This window comes from Homo sapiens, chromosome 3 (assembly GCF_000001405.40).
Source record: "Homo sapiens chromosome 3, GRCh38.p14 Primary Assembly".
Taxonomy (NCBI): Eukaryota; Metazoa; Chordata; class Mammalia; order Primates; family Hominidae; genus Homo; species Homo sapiens.
This window is the reverse complement of record NC_000003.12, coordinates 120,279,846-120,304,037: the sequence shown is the minus strand read 5'-3', so window position 1 is coordinate 120,304,037 and position 24,192 is coordinate 120,279,846. Positions and strand designations below refer to the sequence as shown.

General features: G+C 43.5%; 1 protein-coding gene and 1 long non-coding RNA gene across 5 annotated transcripts in view; one reads left to right on the top strand and one right to left on the bottom strand.

Moving 5' to 3' along the window:
- Positions 1 to 13,314: 13,314 nt before the first annotated feature.
- Positions 13,315 to 18,882, bottom strand: LOC124909418 (uncharacterized). 2 transcript variants are annotated; one of them, XR_007096029.1, is made up of 2 exons: positions 16,901 to 18,882; positions 13,315 to 15,776 (listed from the first exon to the last, which is right to left on the bottom strand). It is a non-coding gene; the product is annotated as an uncharacterized LOC124909418 (long non-coding RNA). The 2 variants fall into 2 exon arrangements; XR_007096028.1 differs by having other exon boundaries at positions 13,315 to 16,045; positions 16,901 to 18,823.
- Positions 18,816 to 24,192, top strand: part of GPR156 (G protein-coupled receptor 156) — a 119,745-nt gene continuing 114,368 nt past the window's right edge. For 2 of the 3 annotated variants that reach the window (NM_001168271.2, NM_153002.3), the window contains exon 1: positions 18,816 to 19,009. The gene's annotated coding sequence lies outside the window, so the exon portion shown is untranslated. Of the gene's footprint in view, positions 19,155 to 24,192 lie in introns of all 3 variants that reach the window. The other variant, XM_017005796.2, reaches the window with a different exon arrangement.

Genomic DNA, 24,192 nt, shown 5'->3' with positions numbered 1-24,192 from the left:
CATTGTTTCCAGTTTTTCTGTGGCTATTTTTTTGTTACATTTGATTTTGCTATTACAAATACCATCCTTGAAAATATAATTTGTCATACATTATGTATTATATCTGTAGTCTCAATTCTTAACTGTGGAATTGCAAGAATAAATGAGATATGCATTTGTGTCCTTTTGCTATAATACAACTGTAATTGTAAGTAGAGTGCTTTCCTGAATTCTTTGTAGCCAGCTGGTCAGAGGTGAGGGTGACCTGGGGAAGTTGAACTTGCAGATACTGCCTGAAGTGAGGGCAGTTTGGCCTAACTCTGGTAGTTGGTGTTAGAACTCATAGGGAAGGAGAATCTCTAGGCAGAAGTCAGGACTGTGAGGTCCAGTCACCCCTACCTTTGGGGAGAGTCTAGTTATATGACACAAAGAGTTAAGAAAATTAACTTCCATTCATGCTCATTACTAAAAAGTTGAGCAACTCTGTGAATTAGCAAATGGACTGTCCATCTGGAATGTTCTTTCATATGTCTGTTCTAAAGACTTGGTCTGATAGGCTACTTCTACAGCCCAAGGGAAGATAATAATTTCATCGAGGGCTGTAAGTTATTCAACATTTTGTCCCTCTCTGAGAACCTACAAGAGTGCTTCCCTATGATAGATAATTAAAATAATAATAGTAGTAATAGTAGTAGTAATTATTTTATTTTATTTTACTTTTATTTTTCTTAGAGATGATGTCTCGCTTTGTCACCTAGCTTGGAGTGCAGTGGTGCAATCTCGGCTCTCTACAGCTATGACCCCCCAGGCTCAAGTTATCCTCCTGCCTCAGCCCCCCAAGTAGCTGGGACTACAGGCATGCACCACCACACCCAGCTCTTTCTTGTTTTCTGTTTTTTGTAGAGATGGGGTTTTGCCATGTTGCCCAGGCTGGTCTCAAACTCCTGCGCTCAGGCAATCTGCCCTCCTTGGCCTCCCAAAGTGTTGAGATTACAAGCGTAAGCCACCACACCTGGCCAGTAATAATAATTTAATAGAACTCAGGAAGATCCACATATGGTCAAAGGCCTTGAGAATCACTTATCTTATGAGTTAAAAAAGAAAAGGTCAAGCCAAAACAATAAATATGGAAAGGAAATGTGATGACAGTTTATGAAATCATGAAAAGTGTAACTGAGGCAACCCAGAGAATGCTTAAATTCCCAATTATTTAAATATTGAAGCAAGAAAATTTAACACAAGCATATACACAGTGTCTAACAGACTGTGAATTAGTGCAAACTGCAAATTTCAAAAGAGTTTAAAGGAAACTCAAGAAATACAAACTAAAATAGATAATTTATTAAGGAAAAATATTCAGGAAATTTATCATAACTTTCTGAGGTCATGGAGCAGAATCAAGCATTTGTACAATATGTGCTTAGTATTCGCTCCAGAAGTAGAGGCCTCAAAGGAGATAAATGGCAATGACTCAGTCTCATCCCCTAAAAGGAGGGGACCCAATTACATCAGACTTGGCTCAGCCTGCTTAGGATTCGCTGAGGCTCATTCAGTTGCCCAGTCATGTTGGTACTCTTCGACCTGCCCTCAGTTGTCAGTTTACGCACCCCAAAAGAAATCATTTTAGTCTTTTCTCTGGGGTCCCTGACACATTTCCAGTTCTACTGGCACCGTTGTGTACTCTGGTAGGGAGGGATACCGAATAAGTCTTGGCAATTTGTTACTATTTATTAAGGAGTCCAGCTCCAGGTCAAAATCCTATGTGTGATCTTTCAGGCCTGATCATAAGCAATTACTGGGCTTTGCCTGGCAGGCCTGATTGAGGAGAAGCTGCCTCCCCATACCACACTTGCACTGGCAGTGCGTTGTACTTTTCTGAAGGGAGTTGCAGTCAAGAACTCGGCCCTTCTTCTCCCTACCCCAACCAGCCATGCATATTCATAATCCTGGCCCTGGTCCCTTCATTCACTGGCCTCCTTACTGGGGGCCTTGCTGAGGCACTTCTTTTTTCCACTTTGACTCAGTACCTTTCTACTCCTAGACCTTCCCACTCTCTCTCTCTCCCCCTGTCTCTCAGGTCTATAAAGAGGCAGGAGTCTTTTGTTCTGGGCTCTTTAACAGTGAGACGATTCCCTCCATGTGTACAGCACTCATCTGAAAAGTTTTCAAAGTACGTACATTAACAACCTAAATGCTCAGCAATAAGGATTGTGCAAATAAATTTTGGTACATTTATAAAAGACTATGCAGATATTTTAAATGATAATGACATAAAAAGATTGATTATAGGCAGTTTAAAGCAACATGTGCTCTGTATTTGCAGTCATGTAAAAAAAAAGTATGCAAACAGCATAGGTATGAATGATCACCTCCACAATATTACCAGTGGTTACCTCTGGGTGGTAAAGTAATGCACGTTTCATTTTCTTGCCTATCTATATTTTCTAATCTAGGATCACCCAACCATGTATTATTTCTGTAATAAGAAAAAAACTGATAAAAGTTATTATTTTTAATATACATACTCCTTGAAGGGGCAATTTTATATCTAGGAATTCATCTTAAGGAAAAAACTGTAAGCATGCATGCAAGATTTAGCTATAGTAATGTTTATTGCAAGGTTGTTTCTAATAGTGAAAATTTTAGAAATAACTCAATTTCTAGTGTTAGGGGATTGGGAAAATAAATTTTAATATATTCATAGATTATAAAACTAGGTAGGTAAATTAAATATTTAATGATCTTGAAAATGTTCATAATATCTTAATAGGTTAAACAAAACAAACAGGTTACACAACACGTATTTTCATACCCTTTGACCCAGCAAATTCCACTTCTACGAAATACTAACACAAAGAATCAAGTGACACAATCTTGATTGTGTCATTTCAGTGACAAAAAATAGAAGCTACACAAATTTTATCAATGGAGAATGCCAAAACAAACAATGGCAGATTCCTATAGTGGACTACTAACAACTGTTGGAAATAATGAAATAGATCTCTATGAGCGAACATGGAAAATGTTTTGATATATTCTTAAGTGAAGATATATAGAAGGATTCTGAAGTACATTCTATCCTAAATTTTACATCTCTATACCATTTTAATAGCTATTCACAAGCATCTATACATTTTAAAATCAGGAAAAAATGTTAAATATATATAGTATGATGTATGTATGTGTGTGTGTTTATAATATGCCTAGCTCTGAAAGAATATTTACCAAAATGTTGACAGTGGTTATTTCTGGGTGGTGGGATTAGAACTGATTTTTATTTTATTATTTTTGTTAATTCTGTATCCTTTGAGATTTTTGCAATACATATATTACTTTTATAACAAGAAAACTTAAAACTGCTATAAATGGAAAAACTTTAAAATTTCTAAACCTATAGGCTTGTTTAGAGCTCCTGGGTTTCCACAGCTTCTCACAGGCAGAGGCAGCTTAGTTAAAAGCAAAACAGACAAAGAAGCCCAGTCACAAAACACCACATATTTTATGATCCCATTCATATGAACAGGGAAATCTATAGAGATAGAAAGTAGATTAGAGATTGCTTAGGTCTGAGTCTGAGGTGGGAGCTTGGTGGGTGGGGGGAAAGATGGGGACTAGAAGTTGATAGCTAAATGGTGTGGGATTTCTTATTTTTCCTTTTAAAAACTTATTTCCTTTACGCCTGTAATCCCAGCACTTTGGGAGGCCGAGGTGGGCAGATCACCTGAGGTAAGGAGTCCGAGACCAGCCTGGCCAACATGGTGAAACCCGGTCTCTACTAAAAATATAAAAACTGGGCAGGGCACCTGTAATCTCAGCTCTTTGGGAGGCCAAGGCGGGCAGATTACCTGAGGTCAGAGGTTCAAGACCAGCCTGACCAACATGGCGAAACCCTGTCTCTACTAAAAATACAAAAATTAGCCGGGCACGGTGACGAATGCCTGTAATCCCAGCTACAAGGGAGGCTGAGATAGGAGAATTGCTTGAACATGGGAGCCGGAGGTTGCAGTGAGCCGAGATTGCGCCATTGCACTCTAGCCCAGGCAACAGTGTGAGACTCCGTCTCAAAAAACAAATGAAGAGACAAACAAACAAAAATTAGCTGGATACGGTTCCAGCTACTCAGGAGGCTGAGGCTAAGGCAGGAGAATTGCTTGAACCAGGGAGCCGGAAGTTGCATTGAGCCGAGATTGTGCCACTGCTCTCCAGCCTGGGTGACAGAGCAAGACTCCATCTTAAAAAAAAAAAAAAAAAAAAACAAATAAAAACTTATTTCCTTTTATGCTTTATGCCATTTTATATTGGCAAGTATATGCTACAGTGGTTTAACAGAATTTTAGATTTCAAGAAAGCTCCACAGCATCAGAGTCATGCTGCTTTATTATTCCTATTTTCCAGATGAGGAAACAGAGGTTAGAGAGAAGTAGAGTAGAGGGTGTTGGTGGCATGACTCACAAGTGGAGGCAAGAAGCTTGTCTGCCTTGGCAGTGTATGCCCATTCTATACTGCTGCTGTGACTGTTAAGTGTAAGCCCATGGAGATGGGCTATAAACAATCTTTCCAAAGGCCTCTTTATAATGTCTTGTTTTTTGGTAAATTGTGGTAAATATATATATTACCATTTTGACCATTTTTAAGTCTACAGTTCTGTGGCATTAAGTACATTCACATTGTTATGCAACCATCACCATCATTCACTAAGAAAATAACTATGTATATTAAGACAAGCAGGGTTGATCTGGGGATTTTAGTGGCTGAAATTAAATTCAATCCTTTTAAGACACTGGCATCCTAAAATTCAAGATTCAAATTCCTGGGACAGGAAGTGTATTTGTTTTAGTGTGGCTTGTGCCCACTATTGTGGTCAGGAGAGTGGGGTTTCAAGATTGGCAGACCACTAGAATTGCATGGGAGGGACAGTGGGAGGCAGACATTTTCCAAAGGAGTGAACTTGGGGCAGGAAAAAAATACTTGATGACCACTAAATGTGGTTACCATTTAGTGGTCATAATATATTTGTTAACTAGAATTTTGTTTAATCAAAATGGTTTATATAATGTGATCATGCCAGATAATAATATACAAAAAATTTGTACTATATTATAGACACAACTGTGTTTGTGGATGGGGCAATGTGAACTAATATTAACTGAGCATGGAATTAGGGCATCAGATGGTGTGTCATATTCCAGAATAAGCTGTGAAATACTGAAATAGAAGATTGGTTTCCCTAGGAAGTTTGAAACTGCAAACTATTTTCATTTCTTAAGTGCTATATTGATTCTAGTTACAAAATAAATGCTACATGAGCTTCATGTCAACCTATAAAAGTTGTAATGGCTTAAAAAATTACAAGCGTAGTTAAAAGATAAATGATAGATTGGGGAAAGTGCTTCCATACATAACAACATATTAAAGAGTTACTATCCATAATATGCAAAAAATTCCTGCAGGTTGAAAAGAAAAAGACCAGTAGCTCAAAAGAAAAATGAGCTAAGTATACGAATAAGCAATTTACAGAACAAAAAGTCCTTAGAGGGAAAAAGACTTCAGTAGTAGTCAGTGAAATACAAATTAAAGGAACAACAAACTATCACTATTCACTTATCAGAATGGCTAAAATTATGCAGAGCACATTGTTACAGCCTTTTATTTTATTAATTAATTTATTTATTTATGTATTTATTTTTATTTTATGTATTTTTTTTTTTTTTGAGACAGAGTCTCACTCTGTTGTCCAGGCTGGAGTGCAGTGGCACAATCTCGGTTCACTGCAACCTCTGCCTCCCAAGTTCAAGTGATTCTCTTGGCTCAGCCTCCTGAGCAGCTGAGATTACAGGTTCCTGCCACCACACCCGGGTAATTTTTTTAAATTTTTAGTAGAGACGGGGTTTCACCATGTAGGACAGGTTGGTCTTGAACTCCAGACCTCAGATGATCAACCCGCCTCGGCCTTCCAAAGTGTTGGGATTACAGGCAGGAGCCACTGTGCCTGGCCTGTTACAGCTTTTTAGATGACAATCTATTAACATTTTAAGTAGTCCAGTCTCATATCTGGTCATCAATCCCTCAGAAATTAAAGTACCAGGGAATTTGGATATACATGTAAGAACGATTATTGAAACATTGATGGCAATAGCTATTTTTTTAAAAAAGGAAGTTGAATGTCATAGCTAGGGGATCTCTTGAATAAATTTTGGTACATCCACAGCATGGAACATTGCATGAGGTCTAAAATAAAAGAATGAATTAGAACTTATACCAGTTGAATTGGAAGAATTGTTGTGACTTTCTTTAATTAGAAAAGCAAGAAGCAGAGAAGTGTATATACCATGATAATCCATTTTGTAAAATAAACAAGAACAAAAAACTGATATAGATATATTAGCATGGAAAAATTAAGAAAAGCTATACATTGCTTAACTTGTTAAATAGCTGGGAGTAGGGGAAAGCAGTGAGGGGGAGAGTCAGGTAAGAAAAGACTAGAAAAGAGGGTGTCCAAAAGAAAACCAAGCATGCACAAAATGATTCCATTTGTGCATATATGCATGGATGTGTGCATAAAGAGATGCATGAAAATATGTTTGCTGAAACATTACCCGTGATTAATGCAGGAGGTGGAGGTTTATTCCCTTTCTTATATGTCTATGTATTTGAATTTTTACAATAAGTACATGGTTTATATACAATCAAAGCATGTTATTTATTTGTTTTATTTTGTTGTTGTTTTGTTTTTTGAGGTGGAGTCTTGCTCTTTTGCCAGGCTGGAGTGCAGTGGTGCGATCTCGGCTCACTGCAACCTCCACCTCCCAGGTTCAAGCGATCCTCCTGCCTCAGCCTCCCAAGTAGCTGGGACTACAGGTGCGTGCCACCACACCCAGCTAATTTTTGTATTTTTAGTAGAAACGGGGTTTCACCGTGTTGGCCAGAATGGTCTTGATCTCTTGATCTCGTGATCTGCCTGCCTCGGCCTCCCAAAGTGCTGGGATTACAGGCTTGTGCCACTGCGCCCAGCTGGATGTTATTTATTTTTAAAGGTATGTGTGGCCAATTGCCTTGGGGGTTGATGATAAAACAGAAACACACCCTGCCTTGCAGACCCTGTGGGGAGATAGGAGGACACAGCCAGCTGTAACATATATCTGTAGTTAGTGAGGGCTAGAACTGAGGCGCAGTGCTGGGAAGGAAACATGAATTGATACCACAGATCTGACTGCAAAGATCTGGAAGAACATCATTATAGGAGAAGGTACTGGAGCCGGATCTTGGAGGCTTGGGAGCAATTCAACGGGTAAAGATGGAAATAAAGAGAAATCCAGGACAGGGTGAGCAAAATCATCAGAGGCGTTAAAAACACAGGGTATATACAAAGATTGGGAATTGGCCCCGCTTGGTACAAGTGGAACACAGGTGTTGAGTGGATAGAAGATTGGAAAGGTAAGCTGATTCCCAATTGTAAAAGGTTTTCTTTTTTTAAAATTTTAAGTTATTTTTTGAATTTTTATTTTAGTTTTGGGGGTACATGTGAAGGTTTGTTACATAGATAAACTTGTCATGGGGATCTGTTGTACATCACCCAGGTATTAAGCTCAGTACCCAATAGTTATCATTTCTGCTCCTCTCCCTCCTCCCATCCGCCCTGTTGAAGTAAACTCCAGTGTTTGTTGTTTTCTTCTTTGTGTTCATAAATTCTTTTCATTTAGCCCCCACTTATAAATGAGAACATGTGCTATTTGGTTTTCTGTTCCTGTGTTAGTTTGCTAAGGATGATAGACCCCAGCTCCATCACGTTCCTGCAAAAGACATGATCTCCTTCTTTCTTATGGCTGCATAAGATTCCATAGTGTATATGTACTACATTTTCTTTATCCAGTCTGTCATTGATGGACACTTAGGTTCATTCTATGTCTTTGCTATTGTGAATAGTGCTGCAATGAACATTCGCATACATGTGTCTTTACGGTAGAATGCTTTATATTCCTCTGGGTATATACCCAGTAATGGGATTGCTGGGTTGAATGGTAGTCCTGCTTTTAGCTCTTTGAGGAATCTCCATACTCCTTTCCACAATGATTGAACTAATTTACATTCCCACCAATAGTGTAAAGTGTTCCTATTTCTCCACAGCCTCACCAGCATCTTTTTCTTGACTTTTTAATAATCGTGTGAGATGGTGTTTCATTGCAGTTTTGATTTGCATTTCTCTAATGATCAGTGATGTTGATCTTTTTTTCACGTTTTTTGGCCGCATAAATGTCTTCTTTTGAGAAGTGTCTGTTCATGTCCTTTGCCCACTTTTTAATGGAGTTGCTTGTATTTTTCTTGTAAGTTTAAGTTCCATGGAGATGCTGGATATTAGACCTTTGTCAGATGGATAGATTGCAAAAATGTTCTCCCAGTCTGTAGGTTGTTCACTCTGATTATAGTTTCTTTTACTGTGCAGAAGCTCTTAAGTTTAATTAGATCCCACGTCAATTTTTGCTTTTGTTGCAGTTGCTTTGGTGTCTTTGTTATGGTATCTTTATCCATCCCTAGGTCCAGGATGATCCCTAGGTTTTCTTCCAGGACTTTTATAGTTTTGGGCTTTACATTTAAGTCTTTAATCCATCTTTTTAAAATTATTATTATACTTTAAGTTCTAGGGTACATGTGCATAACATGCAGGTTTGTTACATATGTATACATGTGCCATGTTGGTTTGCTGCACCCATTAACTCGTCATTTAATCCATCTTGAGTTGATTTTTGTATATGGTTTAAGGAAGGGGTCCAGCTTCAGTCTTCTACTTATGGCTAGTCAGTTATCCCAGCACCATTTATTAAATAGGGAGTCTTTTCCCCATTGTGGTTTTTGTCAGCTTTGTAAAAGATCAGATGGTCAGCTTTATTTCTGGGTTCTCTTTTCTGTCCATTGGTCTATGTGGCCGTTTTTGTACCAGTACCATGCTGTTTTGGTCACTGTAGCCTTGCAGTATAGTTTGAAGTTGGGTAGTATGATTCCTCCAGCTTTGCTCTTTTTGCTTAGGATTGCCTTGGCTATTTGGGCTCTCTTTTGGTTCCATATTAATTTTAAAATAAATTTTTCTAGTTATATGAAGAATGTCATTGGTAGTTTAATAGGGATAGCATTGAATCTATAAGTTGCTTTGGGCATTATAGCCATTTTAATGATACTGATTCTCCCTATGCCTGAGCATGGAATGTTTTTCTATTTGTTCATGTCATCTCTGATTTCTTTCAGCAGTGTTTTATAATTCTCATTGTAGAGATCTTTCACCTCTCTGGTTAGCCATATTCCTAGGTATTTTATTTTTGTGTGTGTGGCAATTGTGAATGGAACTGCCTTTCTGATTTGGTTCTCAGTTTGGTTGTTGATGGTGTATAGGAGTGCCAGTAATTTTTGTACATTGATTTTACATCCTGCAACTTTTCTGAAGCTGTTTATCAGCTGAAGGAGCTTTTGGGCCAAGACTATGGGGTTTTCTAGATATAGAATCATGTCATCTGCAGATAGTTTGACTTTCTCTCTTCCTATTTGGATGCCCTTTATTTCTTTTTCTTGCCTGATTGCCCTTGGCTAGGACTTCCAATATTATGTTGAACAGGAGTGGTGAGAGAGGGCATCCTTGTTTTATGCCACTTTTCAAAGGAAATGCTTCCAGCTTTTGCCCTTCAGTATGATGTTGGCTGTGGGTTTGTCACTGATGGCTGCATTTTGAGGTATGTTCCCTCAGTACCTAATTTGTTGAGAGTTTTTAACACAAAGGGATGTTGAATTTTTTTGAAAGCTTTTTCTGCATCTATTGAGATGATCATGAGGTTTTTGTCTTTAGTTCTGTTTATGAGATGAATCACATTTATGGATTTTCTTGTGTTGAACCAATGTCGCATGCTGGGGATGAAGCATATTTGGTCATGGTGGATTAGCTTTTTGATGTGCTGCTGGATTCAGTTTGCCAGTATTGTATTGAGGATTTTTGCATTAATGTTCATCAGGGATATTGGCCTCAGGTTTTCTTTTTTTGTTGTATCTCTGACAGATTTTGGTAGCAAGATGATGCCAGCCTCATAGAATGAGTTGGGGAGAAGCCCCTCCTCCTCACTTTTTTGGAATAGTTTCTGTAGGAATGGTTTCAAACTCTTTACCTCAAATGATCCACCTTTCCCGGCTTCCTAAAGTGCTGGGATTACAGGCATGAGCCATCAAGCTCTGCCTGACTTTTGTTATTTCTTGTTTTCTGCTAGATTTGGGGCTGATTTGTTCTTGCTTCTCTAATTCTGTCATGAATTTAAGTTGTTAATTTAGATATCTTTCTAACTTTTTGATGTGGGTGCTATGAATTTCCCTCTTAATACTGCCTTAGCTGTGTCCCAGAGGTTCTGGTATATTGTATCTTTGTTTTCATTATTTTCAAAAAACTTCCTGATTTCTGCCTTAATTTAATTATTTATTCAAAAGTCATTCAGGAGCATGTAGTTTAATTTTTATGGGATTGTATGGTTTTTAGCAGTTTTCATTGTGTTGACTTCTATTTTATTTTTCTTTGAGATGGAGTCTTGCTCTGTCGCCCAGGCTGGAGTGCAGTGGTGCAATCTCGGCTCACTGCAATCTCTGCCTCCTGGGTTCAAGCAATTTTCCTGCCTCAGCCTCCTGAGTAGCTGGGATTACAGGGTTGTGCTACCACGCCTGGCTAATTTTTGTATTTTTAGTAGAGACGAGGTTTCACTATGTTGGTCAGGCTGGTCTCAATCTCCTGACCTCATGATCTGCCTGCCTTGGCCTCCCGAAGTGCTGGGATTACAGGCATGAATCACCACACCCGACCGACTTCTACTTTTATTGTGCTGTGAACCTAGAGTATGTTTGATATGATTTCAGTTCTTTTACATATGTTGAGGATGTTTTATGTCCAATTATGTGGTCAATTTGAGAGTATGTGCCATGTGGCAATGAGAAGAATGTATGTTCTGTTGTTTTGGGGTGGAGACTTCTGTAAAGATCTATCAGATCCATTTGGTCCAATGCTGAGTTTAGGTCCTGAATATCTTTGTTAATTTTCTGCCTCAATGATCTAATACTGTCAGTGGGGTGTTGAAGTCTCCCACTATTACTGTGTGACAGTGTATCTCTTTGTAGGTCTTTACGAGCTTGCTTTATGAATCTGGGTGCTCCTGTGTTGGGTGCATATATATTTAGGATAGTTAGGTTTTCTTGTTGAATTGAACCCTTTACCATCATGGAATGCTCTTCCTTGTCTTTTTAAATCTCTGTTGGTTTGAAATTTGTTTTGTCTGAAATTAGGATTACAACCCCTGCTGATTTCTGTTTTCCATTTGTTTGGTAGATTTTTCTCCATCCGTTTATTATGAGCCCATGAGTGTCATTACATATGAGATGGATCTCTTGAAGACAGCAGACCATTGGGTTTTGCTTTCTTATCCAGCTTGCCACTCTGTGCATTTTTAAGTGGGGCATTTAAGTTTATATTCAAGGTTAGTATTGACATGTGTGGATTTGATCCTGTCATTGTGCTGTTAGCTGGTTACTATGTTGGCTTGTGTGTGTGGTTGCTTTACAGTGACCCTGGTCTGTGTAAGTGTGTTTTTGTATAAGCTGGTAGTGGTTTTTCCTTTCTATATTTAGTGCTCCTTTCAAGATCTCTTGTAATGCAAGTCTAGTGGTAATGAAGTCCCTCAACATTTGCTTAGCTAAAAAGGATCTTATTTCTCCTTCACTTAGGAAGCTTAGTTTGGCTGGATAGGAAATTCTTGATGGAAGTTTTTTCTTTAAGGATGTTAAATATCCCAGCCTGTCAAACATGCTGAAACCCCATCTCTACTAAAAATACAAAAATTAGCTGGGCATGGTGGCAGGTGTCTGTAATCCCAGCTATTTGGGAGGCTGAGGCAGGCACATCACTTGAATCTGGGAGGCAGAGGTTGCAGTGAGCTGGGATTGCGCCACTGCACTCCAGCCTGGGCGACACAGCGATACTCCATCTCAAAAAAAAAAAAATTGTTGAATATAGACCCCCTAATTTCTTCTGGCTTATAGGGCTTCAGCTGAAAGGCCCACTGTTAGCCTGATTGGGATCCCTTTGTAGATAAACTGCCCTTTCTCTCTAGCTGCCTTTAACATTCTTTCATTTCAACCTTGGAAAATCTGATGATTACGTGTCTTGAGGATGTTCTTCTTGTGTAGAATCTTGCAGAAGTTCTCTGTATTTCCTGAATTTGACTGTTGGCCTCTCTAGCAAAGGTTGGGCAAGTTTTCATGGACGATATCTTGAAACATATTTTCCAAGTTGTTTGCTTTCTCCTCCTCCCTTTCAAGTAGGCCAATGATTCATAGATTTGGACTCTACATAATCCCATACTTCTCAGAGGTTTTGTTCATTCCTTTTTATTCTTTTTTTCTTGATTTTTGTCTGACTGTCTTATTTCAGAGAACCAGTCTTCAAGTTCTGAGATTCTTTCCTCAGCTTGGTTTATTCTGCTGTTAATATTTGTAATTGCATTGTGAAATTCTTTGTTGTTGTTGTTTTTGTTTTGTTTTGAGATGGAGTCCTACTCTGTCACCCAGGCTGGAGTGCAATGGTGCAATATTGACTCACTGCAACCTCCACCTCCTGGATTCAAGCAATTCTCCTGCCTCAGCCTCCCATGCAGCTGGGATTACAGGTGTGCACCACCAAGCCCAGCTAAAGTTTTAGCTAATTTTTGTATTTTTAGTAGAGATAGGGTTTCACCATGTTGTCCAGGCTGGTATCGAACTCCTGACCTCAGGTGATCCACCCACCTCAGCCTCCCAAAGTGCTGGGATTACAGGCACGAACCACCACACCCAGCCTATTTTTTTTTTGTTTGTTTTTTTGTTTTGAGACGGAGTCTTTCTCTGTCACCCAGGCTGAAGTGCAATGGCTCACTGCAACCTCTACCTCCCGGGTTCAAGTGATTCTCCTGTCTCAGCATAGTAGCTAGGACTACAGGCACCTGCCACTGTGTCTGGAATTGGTGGGTTCTTGGTCTCACTGACTTCAAGAATGAAGCCGCAGACCCTCGCAGTGAGTGTTACAGTTCTTAAAGGCGGCATGTCTGGAGTTTGTTCCTTCTGATGTTCGGATGTGTTTGGAGTTTCTTCCTTCTGGTGGGTTCGTGGTCTCGCTGGCTCAGTAGTGAAGCTGCAGACCTTCGCGGTGAGTGTTACAGCTCTTAAGGTGGTGTGTCTGGAGTTGTTTGTTCCTCCCGGTGGGTTCGTGGTCTCGATGGCTTCAGGAGTGAAGCTGGAGACCTTCGCCGTGAATGTTACAGCTCATAAAGGCAGTGTGGACCCAAAGAGTGAGCACCAGCAAGATTTATTGCAATGAGCGAAAGAACAAAGCTTCCACAGTGCGGAAGGGGACGCGAGTGGATTGCCACTGCTGGCTCGGGCAGCCTGCTTTTATTCCCTTATCTGGCCCCACCCACATCCTGCTGATTGGTCCATTTTACAGAGAGCCAATTGGTCCATTTTACAGACAGCTGATTGGTCCGTTTTGACAGGGTGCTGATTGGTGCGTTTACAATCCCTGAGCTAGACACAAAAGTTCTCCATGTCCCCACTAGGTCAGCTAGATACAGAGTGTTGATTGGTGTATTTACAAACGCTGAGCTAGACACAGAGTGCTGATTGGTGCATTTACAAACCTTGAGCTAGATACAGAATGCCGACTGGTGCATTCACAATCCCTTAGCTAGACATAAAGATTCTCCAAGTCCCCACCAGATTAGCTAGATACAGAGTGCCGACTGGTGCATTCACAAAGCTTGAGCTAGACACAGGGTGCTGATTGGTGTGTTTACAAACCTTGAGCTAGATACAGAGTGCTGATTGGTGTATTTACAATCCCTTAGCTAGACATAAAGATGCTCCAAGACCCCACCAGACTCAGGAGCCCAGCTGGCTTCACCCAGTGGATCCCACACTGGGGCCACAGGTGGAGCTGCCTGCCAGTCCTGTGCTGTGTGCCCGCACTCCTCAGCCCTTGGGCGGTCAATGGGACTGGGTGTCGTGGAGCAGGGGGTGGCGCTCACTGAGCAGCCCACGGCAGGGGTGGGCGGGGGGAAGGCTCAGGCATGGCAGGCTGCAGGTCCTGAGCCCTGCCCTGCGGTGGGGCAGCTAAGGCCTGGTGAGAAATTGAGCACAGCAGCTGCTGGCTCAGGTGCTGAGCCCCTCACTGCCTGGGGCCAGTGGGGCCGGCCGGCTGGCTGCTCCGAGTGCGGGGCTGCAGAGCCCACGCCCACCTGGAACTTGCGCTGGCACGCAAGTGCCATGGGGGCCAGCCCCAGTTCCCGCCTGTGCCTCTCCCTCCACACCTCCCCGCAAGCTGAGGGAGCTGGCTCTGGCCTTGGCCAGTCCAGAAAGGGGCTCCCACAGTGCAGCGGCAGGCTGAAGGGCTCCTCAAGCACAGCCAGAGTGGGAACCAAGGCCGAGGAGGCTCCGAGAGCGAGCGAGGGCTGTGAGGGTTGCCAGCATGCTGTCACCTCTCACCACCACACCTGGTTAATTTTTGTATTTTTAGTAGGGATGGGGTTTCACCATATTAGCCAGTCTGGTCTCGAACTCCTGACCTCAGGTGATCTGCCCACCTCAGCCTCCCAAAATGCTGGGATTACAGGCGTGAGCCACTGCACCTGGCCCACATTGTGAAATTCTTGTATTGTGTTATTCAGCTCTGTCAGACCAATTAGGTTCTTTTTCATACTGGCTATTTCATCCTTCAGCACCTGTATTACTTTATTGTAATTCTTATTTTCCTTGGATTGGGTTTTGCCATCTTCCTGAATCTTGATGATCTCTTTGTTCCTATCCATATTTTGCATTCTATTTCTGTTATTCCAGCCAGTTCAGCCTGGTTAAGAACTCTTGCTGGAGAACTGGTGTGATCGTTTGGAGGACGTATGATACTCTGGCCATTTGAGTAACCAGAGTTCTTGCATTGGTTCTTTCTCATCTCTGTGTGTGGGTGTTCATTTGACTGCAACGTAGATTGACTACAGTCAACAGACTTCTTTTTTGGATGTTTTCACTGTGCTGAGGCTTTCTATAGGGTCTTTATTTGAAGCTGACTTCTTGTCTCTGGTTTCAGAGGTGTGTATGTTAGTGAAATATTTTTCGTGTTGAAGCTTTGGGGTGTGATCCTGCAGGTGACACTTAGGCTTATTGGTCAATTGGTAGACTCCTGCTCCTGTATGTTTCTTCACAGTTGCAGCTGTGTTCCCTCTCAGTGCTCCGAAAGTGTGGGTTCCTCTCCCCCTTGAGTGCTGGCTGTAGTTCACGACTTAGCACCCCTGGACTGCCCACTGCAGCTCTGGAGTGATCTGTGTTTATGTTCCTTCCCCAGCTTAGAAGTAGCAGAGGCTCATCTTAGTAGGTGCTGTGGCCGAGAGTCATTTGCTTGACTCCTGGGGGCTCTACCCCCAGAAAAATGCAGGTTACCAATTGCTCAGTGCAATCAGCCCAAGAAGGAGGGTTCGTGCTTTGGACCCAAGCCAGGGGTTGCCTGTCCAGTGAGCAGTGTGGAACACATGGGAGATGGACTGGTCTCCTTTCCTTGGGTCTACTGCAGCTTGTTGGTATGGAAAAGGCACTTAGGGTCTTTGCTCCTTCTTTAGTCCAAGGGTGGCAAGGGGAGTTCCACAGCAGAGGCAGTGGCTAAGACCCTTTCAATTGCCCCTGGAGGCACTGTCCTGGAAGTCGCTGAGTTGGTATTGGCTGGATAGCTCTGGTGGGGAGTGGCTGGAGGCCGAGGCCTGGAGGACCTGCCAGTGAGGAGATATGGGAATAGGCACCCATGAAACAGTCTGGCCACTTTTCTACAGGGCTGCTCTGGTATGCTTAGGGCCTGCTCCAGTCCCTAGTCACCTCAGATTTTCCAGAACTTGGAGGTGTCACCAGTGAAGGTTATGATACAGCAAATATGGCAGCCTGTCCCTCCCCCTGGGAGCTTTGTCCCAGGGAGGTATGGACCTGTTGCTGGCCCAAAGGCACCTGTAGGAAGTGGCTGAAGACCCTGGTTGGGAGGTCCCACCTAATGAAGAGGAACAGGATGGGGCACACTTAAAAAAGCAGTCTGGCCACATTTCTGTATAGCAGCTGTGCTGTGCTGGGGGTCCACTTCAGCTCCTGGTCACCTCAGACACTCTACAACCCAAAGGCTGGAAGAGCTAAGTCAGCCAAACAGCAAAGATGGCAGCCCATCCCTCCCTCTAAGAGTGCCATCCCAGGGGGAATTCAGATCTCTGTCACAGCTGAAGAGCTCAGGCAGGGTGGCTGGAGGCCCTGGTTGGGAGGTCACACCCAGTGAGTAGGAATGGGATTGGGCACCCACTTAAAGCAGCAGTCTGGCCACATTTTGGTAGAGCAGCTGTGCTGTGCTGGGGCATCCTTACCGCCCCAGGTCGTCTCAGACTCTCCAAACCCTGAAGGCTGGAACAGCTAAAGCTCCTGAACAGCAAAGATGTTGGCCTACCCCTCCCCTGGGAGCTCCTACTTAGGCAGGTGCTATGTTGCTACTGGTAGCTGGGTGGAATTCCAAGCCAGTGGGTCCTGTCTTGTGTGAGGTGTTGTGGAAGTGGGCCCTGCGGGCTGTTGCTGCTCAGCCCTCTGGATTCAGCCTCTTTCTTAGGGGTATGAATGGGAGTCTAAACTCCCTCTTTGTGGGAGATGCAGCTACTTTTGCCAGAACGCCCAAGTATCTAAGCCTCCAGGGTCTCCACGCATGCCTGAGTGGCTGCTTTGCTGAGACTCCATGTAGCCCTGTCTGCCAGACTGAAGACTGAAGGCCCTGCTGCTAGTGGAGTGGATTCACAAGGAGATCTCCTGACAGGAGGGTTGCAAAGATCTGTGGGAGAAGCATGGTTTCCGGGGTCGCTCATTCACTTACCACTTCCCTGGGCAGGGGAAGATCCCCTGGTTCCCTGTTGCTCCCAGGTGGGCTGTTGTCCTGTCTTGCTTTTCCTTGTTCTCTGTGGGTCAGGTTGTTTCCTTGATTAATCCCAATGCGAGTACCCGGATGTTTCAGTTGAAGGTGTTGTATCTACTCGTCCCTTCTGTTCCTCTCCGTGAGAGCCATGTACATTACCTGCTTCTGGTCAGCCATCTTGGCCACTCCCCATCCTTATGAAAGTTTACACTGTATTACAATTGCACAGGAAAGTTACTGCAGGTTTGGGAGTGGGACAGAGGATAGAGGATGTTGGCTTGTTTTGTCAAGAGAGTGACATTCTTAAGTCTATGTTGGTGGTGGGGACAGATAGGAGGCAAGAAAATCAGTTAGGAAATTATTGAAACAATTCAGCCCCAGATAATCGAAGCTTATCAAGAGCAGCAGTGTGAGAATGCAGAGAAGTGGACAGTTGCCAGAAACATCTCAGAGGTAAACATGGCAGGCCTGGAAGATGAAAACCTTCAGTGCCTGGCAACTGAGGGGTTGGAAATACTCCAATCTCAGAAAAGAGAATACTGGGATTGGAGGTGGGGGCCAAGCTGGGAGAAAGATTTCAATGTCTTGCAGAATATAGAGAGGGGTTGATGAGAATAACAGCCGAAGAGCCCAGGGGAATTCCCAGGTTAAAAAAAAAAAGCCCCACAGAGATCAGAAGGGCAAATCCTCAATCTAGAGCCACAGAAGTGAAGATTTGGCTCTAGACTCTGAAGTCAGCTCTCCTACGGAAAAAAGATGGACCCAGGCCTTTTTAACTCAGGCAGCCCCCATGGAGGAGAGAGATGGTCCTCCTCAGTTTCTGCACGTTCCAAATGAAAGGGTCCTTCTGTGTAGAATGAGAGATCTGGAGAGTCCTGGGTAAAATCTCAGACATAATTCTTTCTTCTGAGAAACCAGCTTTTTGCTTACTGCCTTGAGGAAAACCTTGTCTATCTTTCTTTCTTCCTCTTGTTTTCCCCCTCAGTAGAATCCTGTGAAAAGAAGTCTTTGGGTATCACAATGTGTAAAACAGTTAAGAATGTAGCCACTGTCTTGTCACAGTGGGGTCTGCGGACCTGGCCTCTCTCTTCCCGTCCTCTACAACCAAAGATTTCCTCTGCGCAGTTGTAAAAATGTGGAATGTCCTAATGCACATAAATAGGTCTGAGATTTTAAAATAAATGAAACAAATATAATATGGAAAGTCTAAGTGGATTCCCAAGACCATTTCCAGGTCTCCCCTCTATGTTTCTCCTTGAGGGTGTCTTAAACACAACATCTCACACATATTTTTAAGCGGAAGACAGTGGGCTGGGTGCGAACATCTTGTTTGTGGCCTCCTGTAAGCATTCTTGGAAAAAGAAACGTACTTGTCTTTCTGATTATAAAATAAGCAAAAGCTCAACGTAAAGAATTTGGCAACTCCAGAGAGTATAAAATAAGAAAACTAATTGGTAACTCCGACGCCACTCCAGAAATAAAAATGAGCATTCGCGGAGAATCCTTCCAGTCTCCTTACCGAGGCCGGCTAGGGACCTGAATCTGAAGCTCCTCGCCCCGGGGCCAGCTCCTGCGGCAGCCGCTGGCTCGAGGCCCGGGAAGGGGCGCTGAGGGGAAGGCGCCCCCCAGGGAAGGTCTCTGAGGAGACGGCCGGAGGCGGGGCCGCCCCAGGGGACTCGGCGGCGACGCAAGGAGAAAGATCCGAGGAGCTGGAGGAGCCGTGAGGCGCGTGGAGTCTGCAAGGTCCCGGAGCCCTCCCGGCCCTCGCGGGAGAGCAGGGTCGAGGCGCGCCACGCGGGCGGCGCCAGGGAGGGGCGGGCAGGCGTGGCTCAGCCAGTGCCCCGGCCAGAGGCGCCCGGCGCCCCGCGCACACCTCAGAGGCCTGCGCCGCCGTCCCGCCGCCTCCACGCCAGGCTCCCGGCGCGGCGATGGGCGCGGGCCCCTGTCTCTGCCCCGGCCCGCCCCTTCCCGCCCCTTCCAGCCCCGCGAACGCGCGAGACGCCGGGGGACCGTGGGCGTCCTGCACATAGCAGCGGGCTTGGCGCTTCTCGGCGGTCCGACGCTGATGAGGTGAGCACAGCGACCTTAAGGATCCACAAAACTTCAAACACTTAATTATTAAGTGAAAGTGGAAAGGGGGAGGGGCTTTCTCTCCCTTTCCAGAATCTGGGCAGTTTGTTTGGAACCGGTAAAGAAACTCTCATAGGAACTTGAGGTGAGCAGGGGTCACGCATCAGGGATGCGAGTGGCAATTTCAGTGGAAGAGACGGGAGAGTACTGTAATTTGGTGTGAAGATGGGGCCGTGGGTTTTCTGCTGAATAAGCGACCGGCTGTGCTGAAAATGAGAGATCCCGAAACAGTTTCCCACCGCCTGTAGACTTTCCAGAGTCTCCTCACGCCGAATCTGCTTTGCAGGGCATGTTCACCCCCAGGGTGTAGAGTGGCGGGCACGATGGGCTCCCCCATGGAGATTGCAAAGTCCTGAAAAGGGACAATTGTATTGCACTGCGTCTGTTGAACTGCCTTGCTTCTGGGCATGAGGGAGTCACCTGGAAGCTGCAACATCCTTGTACCCTGGCAAGCAGCCCTTTCCAAGTTAGCTCTGTCAGAAACTAGAGGCCTCTAGGTAGAACTCAAGGTATCCATGTACTCGTGAAGAATACAAACCTTGAGGTTTTTAAAATCGAATTTTGTTAAGATTTCAGGATAGAAATCTGGGAAGAGAAGTCATGGCATGGCATAACTTACCCCTTTGTTAGTTTTCTAGGTACATGCATGCTTGAATTAGAGGTAAATGATGCCCTAGCCTATCATAAAATGTCTTTCCTGGTGTAGTTCTTTAAACCAGAATATGGAGGATAACATTACATTTTTGCATCCTAGATAAAAGGGAAAGATTTTCAGATGGGGCTTACACAGCGGGAGAAATTGTTGATATAGTTGTATTAGGCAGCAAGGCCTGCAAAGAAAAACTTCTTTTTCTCCACCAGTGGCTGAATTCTGCACAGAATGTCTCCTCGCAGTCTGGGTAGCAGCCCGGCTTGCAAAAACAGTGCTTCTTTCATTGCTGCAGGTGGGGCAAATGCGCTTGCGGATAAATGGCTGGGGAAGCGTTTGCTTACAGGTTAAGGCAATTTGAGTCTGGAGAATAAAGTGCTTTAGCAGGCTGTGCTTGAGTTAGGTGTCCCTTGTGAGGAATAGAGGTGGCTTTCTGGTCCCCATTTTGCCAGCCTAATTCCCCTTCAGGGACACTACTGTCTCTGGAATGTTCCCTCTGTTTCCCCTTCTCTTCCACCCCCAGCTTTTAGCTTCTCCCCATTCCCCAGTAAAGTCTAGAATTGAGCCTGGTCAGAGTCAAAGTTCTGATAGCCTAGGGATATAGAACTTCAAGCCTGGTGAAGGCAGAAATGAGACCTAGGAGAGACCCAAGATGGGTGAGATGAAACAACTTTCAGCCTAGAAGGCTCTCAAAAGAGTGGAAAAATAATGATTGAGGGAAACAGATTCTCTGGAAAGGAGAATAGGTGCTTAAGTGTTTGTTTTCAGCTGAGGGTTTTAATATTTCCATTTTTGTTGTTTAACCATAAGGGAATTTCCATTATAGGGTAGGAGGAGGATGAGGCCTTCTCTGAAAACTGCATCCTTCTCCTTGAATTTGCATTTTATTCCATTCTTATGTAGGTTTCAGAGATTAATTGGGGGAAGGGGGAGAGAGGAAAGAAGCCAGAGGCTCTGACATGCTGCAGAAACAGTGCAACGTGGACTGACTTGGGCTGCAAAGGTGGATTTGGGGGTTGAAAGAAATGTTCTACATTTAGTTGAAAAAAAAAAATCAGAGCCTTTATTTTGCAAAGGTCTTGAGAATCAGAACATTCATGTTTAGTTGCTGATGAATTTTGCCTGATAAAGGATGCAAATCACTATCTCACCTTTTTTTCTCCAGTACTTTATTATGAAAAATTTTAGACATACAGAGATGTTTTCTACCTCTCATTTTATAAACTTATTATCTTAAAACAAACTTGTTAATAAAAATCAGTGTTTAGAATCCAGACATATGTGATCTGGTCCTGGACAGAGCTTGAATCAGAAGGTGTTTCAAATATAGATGTGTGAAGGATATTAACATTTTAAGAAAAAAATATGGATCTTATTCTTCTGACTTTCCCATAAGAATCTTGAGCAGACCCCTTAACTGCCTTCTTTTTCCCATTCTTAAAATGTCAGTCAGTTGGATGATATTACTCTCCTGCTTAACACCCTCCAATGGCTTCCCCTCACACTGTGAATAACATTCAACTCTCCACCAGGGCTTGTGATTTGGTCTGGTGCCCTCATATTCTATGGCCGTCCTCTTGCTTACCATCGTCCTTGCTCTTCCCTCTGCCTGAACACTCTTCCTTCAGACACTGCCACTGCTTCTTTTCTCAGCTCATTCCAGTTTCTTTTCATACTCTCCAGAATGATGGCCACCTGATCTAAAACAGCCTGTGGTCACTCCCTGTCTTCTGACCCTGCTTTATCCTTCTTCATGGCACTTAGCACTCCCTGACACTATATAGTATATGTGTTTCCTTGTTAATTGGGCATGTTCCCCACTCTAATGTAAACTCCATCAAGACAAGGAATTTTTTTGTCTTATTTATGGCTGTGTTCCTATTTGGTATATTATGAGCAATTAATAAATAACTGTTGGATTAATTAGGTAACTAAATTACACAAATAAGGCATTGACTCCCATAAGGGTGGCAGAACCCTTGGTAAAATACTAGAAGTCCTTTGAGGTAATTCATAATTCAAGTTAATCAATATTTGATAGGTAAATGATGACCCTGGAGATCAGTGGCCTCTTTTATCCTCACAGCACTTCTCAGCTGAATCCTATGCTAATAGCTGGCCAGTTTTGACAAACCCACATCCCAAACAAGACATAAAATATTTCAGTCACAGAACTTTTCCTCACGTCTCTTTCTAGTCACCTCCACCCCACAGAAGCAGCAAACCTTGTTCTGATTTCTAATATCATAGATTAGTGTTGCTGGTTCCTGAATTTCATATAACTGCAGTTACACAGTATGCACTCTTGTGTTTGGCTTCTTTTTGCCCTACACAATGTCTGTGATATTCATCTGTGCCATTGTGTGTATCAGTAGTTCATTTCTTTTTTTTCCAAGGTAGTATTTATTGTATGAATATTGACCATGTGTTTATCTGTTCTCTTGTTGATAGATACTTGGTTGTTGCCAGTTTGTGGCAATTTTGAACAAAGCTGCTGTGAACCTATAAAGGGTCTGCCTCATCTTGAGTCTTCTCTACTTTATATGAAAATCTTCCTTGTGCCACCAATGCAGAGAGAAGTATGGCAAGGTTATGGGGGCTGTGACTGATGTAGCAGCTTGCATGTACCCCAGCCAGTGCTCTCTCTAGACAGCTCTGCTGGGAGCTGACCTGCTTCCCACTTTAGAGGGAAAGCACTTGGAAAATGAGTGTCTAACAAATTAGCGAGCCCTCCAGTGCACTCTTAAGTGCTTTAAATCCTTGAAAGAGACACTGTGGAATGCCTGCTGCCATCACTGTTGTATTTCCCTCCTCCTCTCAGCTTCCCCATCCCAGCACAAGTTGACTCTAATCAGCTTCTGAGCATTATGCTACTGAGGGGTTTAAACATTCATGAGCAAGAGTCTTGTTCAGAGCCTGATAAAATATTCATGTGTTTCCATGGGGCATTGGTTTCCATCTAGACTTCTCAAGGCATTTTTCTGAGATGCATGTCGTAATTGTGAAGAACTCAGACAGTGATGGATGATACGGCCCTGTGTTATTAAACCCTACCACACAGAGCACCTTGCTTTCTAGGGATGGAGAAGAATGAGCACACAGAAAAATTGACATTAATCCTGTCTAGATCAAGAGAAAGGCTACATGTACTGATAAAAATGGCTTGAGTAAAGAGGGGCCTGTTAATATAGTACCAACAAAGGTATGAATCCATAGAGGAGAGTGAAAAGAACTTGTTAAAATGAGAGGAATGCTGGGATGCAGTCATTCCAAGTGGAAGAATGGGGGAATCAGCATTGTAAAATGCACAGTTCCTTTGACACTCATGTGGACGAGGTTCATATGAGACAACTGTGCTGAGTGCTGTAATTATCACAACCTGCTATGAGAGGATGAGAGTAGAAGTGGAGGCTAGGCAGGGTTTCCAAGTAGAGCCAGAGAGCTATTCCAAGAGGAGTCAACATTTCTCTTCAAGGAAGAAGTGGCTTTGAGTCAGGTTCTGAAGGAGGTGTGCCTCTTTGACTGGCAGCTGCGGTGTGGAAGGGACTTTCCAGAGAGACAGAATAGCATGATAGAGTGAGGGCCAAAGTGCCGGTGTGGTGTGAGTAAGGAGAGAAGGTGGGTGGATGGGGGTCAGGGCAGGGTTGCAGCAAGACATAAAGCAGGAGAGCTAAAGGCCAGCTTATGAAGGCCACAGGAGGATGGACTTCAGTCTGTTTGCTGGAGGGCCGTGTAACTTTTGGCCAGAGATTGGGTTACATTTTGAGGAGTTCTTGGGAAGTATATCCACCCTAGGCAAGGCCTTGAGGTATGTTTATGTCCAAGGCATTTCCAGAATATTCTGCTGTGTCCAGAACACTATGAAGACTCTACGTGGTCTACTCTAAGAGAGGTAAACCAGAGGAGGTCAGATATACTCAGTATACTCCTGGGACTGACCAGAAACAGGCCTCACCAGGCACCTCTCTGCCCCCAGCACACAAACACTCAGAATATTCTGAGTCAGATTGAATCCACAGCATTCCCTAGACTTCTTCATGACCACTTTGCCTCAGCTGGGGGAGTTGCAATGATCTAAGTATCCCCTTATCACCTGAATCTGGGCCAGGATACCTCAGACATGGGTTGCCAGGCAACTGAGGGCTAAGTGATGCAGCTGGCCAATCATCCCCACAAAGCCCAGGTCTGCTTTGACCAGGCCATCGGGCTGTGACCAGAGAGGCAACTTGGGGGGTTGAGGTCATGCAGACTGATGACTTGTGGACACAACTGCCAGGCCCCTTCCATATGTCTTCTTCCTTTGGGTTGCAGATTTCTATTCAAAAATGCCTCAGGATGTTGATTTTTTAACCCATAATAAAAATAGTGAAGTAGGGAGGAGTGTTAAACATGTCAGTCATCTATACCTTATGTTGTCATTGGGAAGAAATAACTGTGGAAACAATTGTCCCGGGAAAGTCAGTCTTCAGTCTTG